At 40.0% G+C, this 12,521-nt stretch overlaps 1 annotated feature.

The window, feature by feature from the left end:
• Window positions 4,906–5,106: a silencer, noted in NCBI's record as "peak2147 fragment used in MPRA reporter construct". NCBI's record gives its function as "represses an SCP1 promoter by STARR-seq MPRAs in K562 erythroleukemia cells {active_cell/tissue: K562}" and the evidence as "EXISTENCE:reporter gene assay evidence [ECO:0000049][PMID:32103011]".

Below are 12,521 nucleotides of genomic sequence, written 5' to 3'. Positions count from 1 at the left end.
TCCAACCTATTTCGTCCTCCTAAAGCATTTCCTTTTACTATCAAAAGATATCCTAAACAATGTTCTTTTTTCTTAACAGATTGGCAGGTTTAATAAGTATTTCTGGGTTAAATATTATTCCTTTAATCACCACAGAGCTAAAACCCTGAAGTAGCCAAGTCTTATGAAACTACCCCATATCTCAAGAAACAAATTACACTGGCAGGGTCGTGAGCTGTGGCAATGATGTACAATTCTTGGGTCAAAAAGGTAACCAATCTACATGTTGAGTAAGGTCCTCTCTCTAAAAAGGTTCAAACTTGACAAAGTTATGGATGATAATTCTTAAAAGAGGTAAGTAAGTGGATTCCATAAAATTATTTGAGAGGTTAATGGTTTTAAAATATAATGAAGCAAGAGCTATGGTTAGGAGGGAAAAAAATGTATTGGTGAGACCAGGGAGAGAAACACATTTGGGCAAAGCATGTATTAGACGATGGTTCTAAGAACCTTCTGTCTTTTCAAAGCAACTTTTGAGTAGGGCTATTTTTGACTTTCATCTACATACTGAGCTGATCCATCCATAAACCAAGCTTGAGTTTTTTTCTTTGTGCTTTGGGTAGAATCCTCCATAGAACCACAGGCATGAGATGAATGAAAGGGCACTGTTAAAACAGTGATAGGTGCCATGGGGGTCTGTAATACCTACTCGTGAAGCTTGTTTGAGCCATCTGGTTATGATTATACTTGCTCCTAAATGTACCAACTCCATCTTGCAATGTACTGTTGCTTGGGCTATCTGACCTTTCTATTTGGTAAGTCTGATAGGACCCAGCTCATGATGGGAATTTATATAATATATACATGGTTACTTGATACTCCATGGTCAGGCATCCTGTCTCCACCAGGGTTCAGGAGCACATCAAAAGGTATATCATTCTCTACCAAAAATGGCATTGCCTTGCTCCAAAAACCAAGGGACTAACATTATAATTTGCCCACTGGGACTTGCAACAAACTCCACATAGAATCTTGTCTTATCACTTACACCTTTATGATCATAAATTCTGCTAAATTGTATGACCCAAGTGACAGGGCTGCTTGCACCCCAGCCTGGATCTGTTGCTATTTCCTACTCCTGATCTGATTTAAAGTTGGCAGCATTTTATGTCATCCAGTATGTTGGCTGGAGAAGTATCCCTAGGTGTAGAAATGTGCTGCCTCCAGAACTCAGAGGCCCATCAGGGATTGTGCTTCTTTTTTAATGTAGGAGATACGAGATGCAATAATTTGTCTTTTATGTTAGAGGATATATACAGGCACAGCCCTGATCAATAAACCCCTAAAGTATTTACAGATGTAGCAAGCACTTATATCTTCATAGGGTTTGTCTCTCACACACTACAGCATATCCTGCCATTGCCTCCACTGTGCTAGCCCTCTCCTGCAAATCCAACTCAATCAAAATAATGTCATCAAAGTAATTGATCAGTGTAATGCCAAATGTCAAGAGGGTCCAGATCTCTTCAAACTGTATTATGACAGAGGACAAGAGGACTAAAAACAGCCCTGGGACAAACCTATAAACAAATATTATTGTCCATTCCATATGAATATAAACTGTTTCTTATTCTCTTATCTAATTGGAAAAGAACACATTTTCTGACCTTATCCTTAGCCCAGTGAGACTGATTTTGGATTTTTATCCTCCAGCACTGCAATAAAACAGATTTGTGTGGTTTTAAACTATGATGCTTGTGGTAATTTGTTACAGGAGCCATAGGAAATTGTTACAGCTAGAAATCTAGTTGATGTATGTCCCTGCCTACCACATGATGTTAAGCCATGAAGTCTCAGTCTTGGGTCTCATAGGAGATACATAAACTCCACTACAACACCTGTATAAAGAAGCCACTTTATTGGAAGAAAGAAAAGGAAGCTGGCAGGAACTAGAATTTCGTGAGATTAAACATTTAACATACTGTGTAAGTCATAAGCGAACAGTTTTTCATTCATCAGTAGGGGGCACTAGTGAACATCTGGAAATAGAGACAATATTGGTCTTGGGCAGTGGTAGCCAGACTTAAATGTAAAGAACTCCAAATGAAACCAGCTTAAACCTTAGATTCTAAGAGACTATTGGCTGACATCCAGAAATATCACCTACTGATAAGATCATCTAAAGATCCTTTACCTTATGCTTCATGGAACACCAAATCAGGAAAAACTGCTGTCAAAGACTTCTATAATCACGGGAATTGAGTATTCTACAAGACTACAATAGTACAGGTTCATCAATGGAGTTCCTCAAGGTTCATATTCTACTATGCCCTATATATTTAGGGTATGTTGGTCCAAAAGGTAAAACTCAACCAAGAATCACAGATATTGGATGTTAGTAACCAAGTTTAATGAAACCTTGGTTGGTTGAGATGAACTAGCATCATAAAGTTGGCAAATGTAGAATGAGAAGAGAACCCAAAAAATCCTGCTTCCAAGATAACAAAAGCTCATGTTCCTGCCATGTGTTCCTTTTGAATGGATGTGACATATGGAAGACCTTAGCTTTTTCCACTGTTTCCCATCTTTCCCATCTTTAAGAGCCTCAGAAAAATAGTTCTGGCTCTGAGGAAGTCATCCTAACAAAATGAATGTAAGGCTAACTATAGGAACCCCAAACTCCTAGAAGAGTTTTGAGCTTTTTGTTGCTTATCGATAAACTCATTCCTGCAGAGGGAAAAAAAATTCAAAATTGTTTCATCACAGGCAGAGTTTCTCTCTCACTGCCTCTCTCCTAAAACAGATGCAAAAATATGAGAAATTACTATTGGTTCAACTACCAGTTTAAAAAATTACACATTCATCTCTAGATTATGTTGATAAGAATAAAATTAATCTTTATATTTATGCTTTCAACCAAAACATAACCACTATTGAATCTTGGACATTAGTATGGCCTTGGCTTCTATTTTCCAAAGGAAGAAAAACATCTGCAGGAAAAAAAAATTTCCAAAGTACAGCTGGAATAAATTTTACATTTTTCTAATTCTGTTATCAACTCTCAGGTTTAGATAATCATAAACAAAACCCAAGAAAGTACTTCTATAAAAACTCCTCTTTAAGATGACTCAGGTAAAAAAATAATAATAAATGGGGGAGGCAGAGGAATGTTTTAGTTTTTATTTAAAAAATAAAACACTATATTATGACAGAATATTTTTTATTTTTTTAATAATAATTATTTTTTTTTTTTTGAGACAGAGTCTCGCTCTGTCACCCAGGCTGGAGTACAGTGGCACAATCTCAGCTCACTACAAGCTCCGCCTCCTGGGTTCACGCCATTCTCCTGCCTCAGCCTCCTGAGTAGCTGGGACTACACGTGCCTGCCACCATGCCCGGCTAATTTTTTGTATTTTTAGCAGAGACAGGGTTTCACCACGTTAGCCAGGATGGTCTCGATCTCCTGACCTCATGATCCGCCCTCCTCAGCCTCCCAAAGTGCTGGGATTACAGGCATGAGCCATCGTGCCCGGCCGAATATTTTTTATTTAAAAAAGAGATTTTTTTATTAAAAAAATAAACAGCAAAAGATACATTGTATTTAAATTTTAAAGAAAAACCTGCACAAAAGCACTGAAATGGCTGAGTAGAACTGTGCTCAACAACTGATTGGTCACACATAGATATGACTGTCATTAATATTCTAACCGTATCTATTAAACAGACAGAAACCATTCCCAAAAAAAAGACATTTCTCTTATTTTTAAAGACTTCCAAAGGAAAAAAAAATCTATATTTTTTTCCATCTGTTAAGAGCCCTCTTTTTTAATAAGAGTATCCACTTTTTATACCACTAGGAAAGAGTATACTAACCTGCCTTAGTTCATTCCCAGAGTATGGGTCTCAGCAGGAAACAGGAGACTGAGCTGAGGTTTGGAGATAACTTAATAAATAAACTATCTACAGATGTGTGAATACGGTTAAGAGATGCTACAGGGATGCTGAGCACTTTGGAACTGTTACCACCCCTCGGCCTGAAGTGATAAGCTGGAGCTGGAGTGCATTAGTCCATTCTCACACTCTACAAAGAAATGCCTGAGACTGGGTAATATATAAAGAAAGGAGGTTTAGGGCACAGCAGCTCACATTTGTAATCCCAGAACTTTAGGAGGCCAAGGCAGGTGGATCACTTGTGGCCAGGAGTTCGAGACCAGCCTAGCCAACATGGTGAAACACCATCTCTACTAAAAATACAAAAAAAAAAAAAAAATTAGTTGGGCGTGGTGGCACACGCCTGTAATCCAGCTACTTGGGAGGCTGAGGCAGGAGAACTATTTGAACCTAGGAAGCAGAGGTTGCTGTGAGCCAAGATCCTGCCACTGCACTCCAGCCTGGGTGACAGAGGGAGATTCTGTCTCAAAAAAAAAAAAAAAAAAAAAAAAAAAAAAGAAGGAGAGAAGGAAGGAAGGGAGGGAGGGAGGGAGGAAGGGGGGAGGGAAAGAGAGAGAAAGAAAGAGAGAAAGAAAGAAAGAAAGAAAGAAAGAAAGAAAGAAAGAAAGAGAGAGAAAGGAAGAAAGTATCGGAGGAACCAGCCCCCAATATTTCAACATAGGTTCTTTTCTATTTTCGCTAAGTGTCGGCCGGTCTGAGAAATAAAGAGAAAGAGTACAAGAGAGAAATTTTACAGCTGGGCCACCAGGAGAGACATAACATATTGGCAGCTTCCGTGATGCCCACCTGAGCTGCAAAACCAGCACGTTTTTATTAGCAATTTTCAAAGGGGAGGGAGTGTACGAATAGGGTGTGGGTCACAGAGATCACATGCTTCAAAGGCAATAAAATATCACAAGGGCAGAGTCAGAGTGAGATCACAAGGCCAGGGCAAAACTAGAATTACTGATGAAGGTCCATGTCCTGCTGGGCACACATTGTCACTGATAAACATCTTAACAGGAAACAGGGTTCAAGAGCAGACAACCGGTCTGACTAGAACTTCGCCAGGCTGGAATTTCCCAATCCTAGCAAGCCTGGGGGCGCCACAGGAGACCAGGGCATATTTCATCCCTTATGTACAACTGCATAAGACAGACACTCCCAGAGCGGCCTTTTAGAGACCTCCCCCTGGGAATGCATTCTTTTCCCAGGGCTGTTCCTTGCTGAGAAAAAGAATTCAGCAATATTTCTCCTATTCGCTTTTGCAAGAAGAGAAATATGACTCTGTTCTGCCCGGCCCTGCAGGCAGTCAGGCCTTATGGTTATCTCCTTGTTCCCTGAAAATCACTGTTATCCTCTTCTTTTAGGATGCCCAGATTTCATGTTGTTCAAACACACATATTTTACAAACAATTTGTACAGATAACACAATCATCACAGGATCCTGAGGCGACATACATCCTCAGCTTACGAAGATGACAGGATTAAGAGATTAAAGACAGGCATAGGAAATTATAAAAGTATCAATTTGGGGAACTAATAAATGTCCATGAAATCTTCACAATTTATGTTCTTCTGCCATAGCTTCAGCCTGTCCCTCCGTCCGGGGTCCCTGACTTCCCGCAACAAGGAAGGAAGGAAAGAAGGAAGGAAGGAAGGAAGGAACGGAGGGAGGGAGGGAGCGAGGGGTTTAATTGACTCAAAGTTCTGCATGGCTGAGGAGGCCTCAGGAAACTTATAATCATGGCAGAAGGGGAAGGGGGCACATCTTACAGGGCAGCAGGTGAGACAGAAGTGAGAGCACAGGAATAAACCACCATTTACAAAACCATCACATCTCGTGAGAATTCACTCACTATCACAAGAACAGCATGGGGGAAACCGCCCCCATAATCCAATCACTTCCTTCCCTCAACATATGGGGATTACAGGTCCCTCCCTCCACACATGGGGATTACAATTGGAGATGAGATTTCAGTGGGGACACAGAGCCAAACCATATCATGGAGTGATGGGGAAGTTAGGGGAGTGGAAGCCAGTAGTTGCACAGCTGCAGCCCCAGCCAGAACACAGCTCCAAGGCAGGGATGGAAAAAAGAAAGAAATGCCCTGATCTCTCCTCTCTACCTCCCCACTTCCTCCATCCCCTCGCTGGTGTTTCTTACTGCCTGAACCAACAGGAACTCGACTAGAAGAGTATAAGAAAGTACAATGCAGTACAAGAAAGTCTACATAACACAGTTTATTGGGGTCCATCACTAGGAGAAAAAGGAGAGCAGGGAATGGTGGGAAATAAATCTGGAGTAGAGGAGGTGGGGAAGCAGAATTATCAGCCCAGCATTCAAGTATCTTATCCATTAATAACCAGTAAAACAACCCATGTCCCATTTCTCTAAGAACCTTCTAAGAGATGTCCCTGGAGAGTGTCATTCCCAAGTTCAATGGTGTTGGCCAGACATGATGCGCACGTCTCCACATTGAATTGCTACCTCTCACCAGAGCAGAAACAAGTTAAATCTCTAACAGAACACTATGATATCCTTATATTATTTTAGTCAATTATCAGAATTGTCCTACCTACTCTGCTTCATTCAAGCAACAAGTTACAACTTTTCTCTGAATGTCTACATTACTTTGAATATTAAGTTTTGTGGGGGTTTTTTTGTTTTCTGTTGTTTTTGTTTTGAGATGGAGTCTCACTCTGTCACCCAGGCTGGAGTGCAGTGGTGCAATCTCGACTCACTGCAGCCTCTGCCGCTCAAGTTCCAGCGATTCTCCTGCCTCAGCCTCCCAAGTAGCTGGGATTACAGGCATGCACCACCACACCCAGCTAATTTTTGTATTTTTAGTAGAGATGGGGTTTCACCATGTTGGCCAGGCTGATCTCGAACCCCTGACCTCAGGTGATCCACCCACCTCAGCCTCCCAAAGTGCTGGGATTACAGGCATGAGCCACTGTGCCCAGCTGAATATTAAGTTTTAACTAGATACTTTGTTGCAAGTCATAGTATTCTATGGCAAAGTAGTTATATCAGTTTTTGGAAAACCACTTAAATATTTTAGGATGATAACTAAATCCAACTCACATATGTGACATCATGTTAACCAGAGATAAATGTATATGGGTGCTACAAAAACTATAGTATAAATTAAAAATATAAACAGTTTTGGCAGGGCGCAGTGGCTCACGCCTGTAATCCCAGCACTCTGGGAGGCCGAGGCAGGTGTTTCACCTGAAGTCAGGAGTTCGAGACCAGCCTGGCCATCATGGTGAAACCCCATCTCTACTAAAGATACAAAAATTAGCCAGGCATGGTGGCACACACCTGTAATCCCAGCTACTTGGGACTTGAACCCAGGAGCCAGAGATTGCAGTGAGCTGAGAGAGTGCCCCTGCATTCCAGCCTGGGTGACAGAGCAAGAATCCATCTCAAAAAAATAAAAATAAAAAATAAAAATAAAGCAGTTTCTAAAAATCACTTTGACCAAATATAAATATCTCATATCACTTAAAAGAGCAAAGGAAAATGAAAAGAGCTATTTGATAGGAAAATAATCCAAATATACTTTAAGGTATACACATTATGCAAAAATAAGTTTTTCTTTCTATATATAAAAGATGGCCAAAAAATTAAAGTCATTGCCATTTAAGCTACATGACACATTTGGATTATTTTACTCTGCATATAACAATCACTGAAATTGTACATCCTGTATCATACTTTTATTGACACATTAACAACTCAAGTTATCTTTAATTTTTCAGGTACAAAGTATCTCATGGACTTAGGGTCCTAGGAAAGGGACATGATGGAATTATTTACTTTTGGAATGCTCCATATGAGAGCTCTATTGTAGAAAGTGTAGCATAATGGTTAAGAGCATGAGCCCTAGAGCTACATGCCCAGCTGTATCAGCTGTGTGATTTTTTTCAAGCATACTTAACTTCCCCATGACTCAGTTTCTTCATCTGTAAAATGGATAAATAGTTGTTTCATAAAAAGTTGTCTGGATTAAATAAGTCAATTCAAATAAAATGCTTTCAGAAGTGTCTTGAATAAACACAGAACACATAGTACCCATTGTTATAGTTAACCTATCCCTCATGCCTAAGATTACTCCCTGGAAGCAAATTAAGTGATTTTGAGGGGACAGGATCTCTTGTGCCATACTTTCATTCTTTCACCCTATAAATTACCCTTACTCTCAATACAATCATTGATTTCAAAGGAGATCATAAATAACGGCACACAGAAAAACTTATTGTATCGGGAACTGCATAAACAGACATTTTTTAAAGAAAAAACTTTAAACTCACAAGGCTTTATTCTTTCCTGCAAGGATACAGAGACAGAATGGTGGCTCCACAAAAGCATCAGTGACCCTGGCTCATTCTATCTTCTCCATCATCCATAGTAAGTGGCTTTCATTCTCAAAGCCATCTCATGAACCAGGAAGACTGCTGAGCTCTAGCTATCACATTCCAGATAGCAGAAAAGGCAAATAAGTCCTCTCTCAATCAAACCTGCTCCCATTAAGAACCTTCCTAGAAGTCCCACACAATACTTTCACTGAACTTAGTTGGTCACATCTCCCTGCAAATAAAATTGAAAAATGTAATTTTTTTAGCTGGGTGTGTTGCTGCTCTGAAAAGTACTGGAGTTCTATTTCCTTGCTGCAATAATTAAGAGTGTGAAATCTAGTCTCTATAATCAGAAAGACAAGTGGACAGCAAAAAATAGTTCTCAAAAATATATTAATGGGCCAGGCATGGTGGCTCAAGCTTGTAATCCCAGCACTTTGGGAGGCCGATGAGGGCAGATCACCTGAGGTCAGGAGTTTAACACCAGCCCGGCCAACATGGCAAACCCCATCTCTACTAAAAATACAAAACTTAGCTGGGTGTGGTAGCGCAAGCCCGTAAGTCTGGCTACTCTGGAGGCTGAGGTAGAAGAATCGCTTGAACCCTGGAGGCAGAGGTTGCGGTGAGCTGAGCTCACACCACTGCACTCCAGCCTGGGTGACAAAATGAGACTCTGTCTTAAAAAAAAAAAGAAAATAAATATATATATGTATATATGATAACTCTATCTAGATAATTAAGAGTTGACTACAATAATGCTACCTAGCATTCAATTTGCTTATTTGGTGTTTGGACATATAACAAAGGTGAAAAGGTAGAGTAAAATACAGAGTTAAAAACAAGAACATTTTTATCTTAATTTCATGCATATTTTAGGCAAAGAAGATTTTCTGTCCTGAAAAAGTCAAAACTGTCTTTTTGACAGTCCATGAACAAAATGAACCTAAAAAAAACAGATTCACCCTTTAGAAAATCATAGAATTACAGTTGAAAAGGCACTCCGGGTTACTTGATTCACACAACCTTTTTGGTATTTTACACCCATGATACCACTTTCTCTAAATGATCACCTGGTCTGTATTTAAACCTATGTGAGAATGTAATATTTCTTATGGTAATGTACTCTAACCTTAGAAAATTCTGACCTCCTGATAACAGTGATTGGTCAAAAGTGTGGGCATATGATACAAGGCTAATCGAAATCCTGCCCTGAGATTTTTCACACTGGGAAACTAAAAGAGAAAAATCTTTTTTTTTGGCTATGGACAGTCATAGAGTGTATGTGTAGAAGTGGCTAGCAGCCATGTTCCTCACAATATGGAGAAATCTTGTATGTGATAAGGGAGAATGAAACTGAAACAAGATATGGAGAAAGAGAGAAAGACATGGAAGACAGAGTAAAAGAAGAAGATGACAGTGTTCAGGTCTGATACAATAGTCTCTGAATTCCCTAAAATGTCTCTGGTTCTTTTTTTTTTTTTTTTTTTGAGACAGAGTCTCACTCTGTCGCCCAGGCTGGAGTGCAGTGGCATGATCTCGGCTTACTGCAAGCTCTGCCTCCCGGGGTTCACGCCATTCTCCTGCCTCAGCCTCCTGAGTAGCTGGGACTACAGGCGCCCACCACCACGCCTGGCTAATTTTTTTGTATTTTTAGTAGAGACGGGGTTTCACCATGTTAGCCAGGATGGTCTCGATCTCCTGACCTCATGATCCGCCTGCCTCGGCCTCCCAAAGTGCTAGGATTACAGGCATGAGCCACCACGCCCGGCGTGTCTCTGGTTCTTTAAGCAATTTATTTTATGCTGTGACCTACCTCAGTCCTTTCAACAAATCTCCTTTTCTACATAAACTAATCTGAGTTAGATTCACCACCAAGGGCAGTTCTTGGCTGTAAACTTTCAGACTTTTAAAATGTATCAGAAATAAATTTGGATAAGTGGAATTACAGTATAACTACTGTTCTTTAATGTATTTTGCTTCTTTAAAATAATCATAGGCCTCTTTCTGTGGCAACGCTTCTGCATCTCTCTGATCAGCTTTAATGCCTACCAAAGCACTCATTTGAATAAGGTACTATTTTTTATTTAACCAATGACTTACTAATAAACATTTAATGTTTCATTTCATTAGCATAAACAATACCACATTTATACTTGTACATATATTATGTATTTGTGCAATTATTTAGAATAAATCTGTAAAAGTAGAATTGTTTAATCAAATAAGATACACGTTTAAATTTTGATAGTTATTATCAAATTTTGAGGGTAGTAAAAGACTAGATTCCAGAAACACAAAATTGAATAGTGTAGCTAAAAAGAGGGTGAAAGAATGCTAGGGAGGCAATCATCAAATTACTATTATATACTCACATTTATTATTGACCAAATGAACTACCAGTCAAAACCCTGATGTCTTTTTCACAAAGGAAATAAGGCCATGACCTCCAATTATCTTTATCAAAAGAAGCCTAAATTGTCTACCTTGTTTTCAGGTTACCATTAGTGGAGGTGAAGAACACAGATACATTGATCCAGAGCCCTAATTAAGAATTTAAGAGGCTAGGTGTGTTGGCTCACACCTGTAATCCGAACACTTTGGGAGGCTGAGGCATGCGGATTGCTTAAGACCAGCCTGAATAATATGGAGAAACCCTGTCTCCACAAAAAATACAAAAATTAGCCAAGCATGGTGGCATGCACCTGTAGTCCCAGCTACTTGGGAGGCTGAGATGGGAGGATCACTTGAGCCCAGAAGGCCAAGGCTGTGGTGAGTCATGATAATGCCACTGCACTGCAGTCAGGGTGACAGAGTGGGAACCTGTCTTAAAAAAAAAAAAAAGTTAAGAATTGGGCCAGGCGCAGTGGCTCACACCTGTAATCCCAGCACTTTGGGAGGCTAAGTCGGGTGGATCATTTGAGGTCAGGAATTTGAGACCAGCCTGACCAACATGGTGAAACCCCATCTCTACTAAAAATACAAAAAAGTTAGCCAGGCACGCTGGTGCATGCCTGTAGTCCCAGCTATTTAAAAGGCTGAGGCAGGAGAATTGCTTGAACCCATGGGGCTGAGGTTGCAGTGAGCCAAGATTGTGCCACTGCACTCCAGCCTGGGCAACAGACCGAGACTCCATCCACCCCCCCACCACCCAAAAAAAATAGAATTAAAGAGACCTAAATAAATGTGGGCATATATGATGTCTACCGATTACACACAATACTGTTAACATGTCAGTTCTCCTCACATTGGTCTATAGATTGAATGAGATCAAGATAATGAATACATCCATCACCCCCAAAAGTTTTCTCATGCCTCTTTTTAATCTTTCTTTTTTTCTTCCTCCTCTTCTCTTTTCTTCTCTCCCCTTCTGTGTTAGTCAGCTTGGCTGCCATAACAAAACACCATAGACTGGGTGGCTTAAACAATAGAAATCTATTTTCTCACAATTCTAGAGGCTAAATGTCCCAGATAGAGGTGCTGGCCAATTCAGTTCCCAGTAAAGGCTCTCTGCCTGGCTTGCTGAGGTCCACATTCTTGCCATATCCCCGATGGCCTTTCCTCTGTGGTACACAGACAGAGAGAATAGTAAGTGACAGAGCCTAAGTGTGGCAACTAGGACATCTGTGCAAGAAAGGGGGTGGGGGTGGGGGCGGCAACAGCAGGATGGTTAGGCAATAGCAGGGATGTGGATCATATAAACAAATATATTAAAGATGATGGAATCCATTTTTGTCACTGATGGGAAGAAGGGTTACAAATATGAAGAGGAAGAAAACTAGAATGAACCCTGTGGTACTAAATAAGAATGAAGGCTTTGAGGTAAACTTATGGATTTCAAGTAGATACAAAGATAAATATAGATATGAATGCATATATATTGTGTATAAGTGTGTGTATGTGCACGAAAGAGCCTGGGGGCAGTGACCCCAGTTTGATGAACAATGGGATATTACACAGTTTCAAACTATCTCCCCACAAAATACTTATTTATTACAAAGAGGAAAAGAATAACATTACATTGTTGAATCCTAGTGGCTACCACCTTAATCAAGTGACCAAAGTAAGCATCAGTAAGAGAATATAGAAATATCATGTGACAACTGATAGGATACAATGAGAAAACACAGAATTACTTCTGTGATATTCATGCCAAGGTTGCATAGCTTGAATCTAATCATGAGGAAACAAATCCAGACTGAGGGATAAGTACTTAATAACTGGCCTGTAAATCTTCAAGGATGACAAGG

Source organism: Homo sapiens, chromosome 14 (genome assembly GCF_000001405.40).
Source record: "Homo sapiens chromosome 14, GRCh38.p14 Primary Assembly".
NCBI lineage: Eukaryota > Metazoa > Chordata > Mammalia > Primates > Hominidae > Homo > Homo sapiens.
This window is presented reverse-complemented; position numbering and strand designations above follow the sequence as displayed.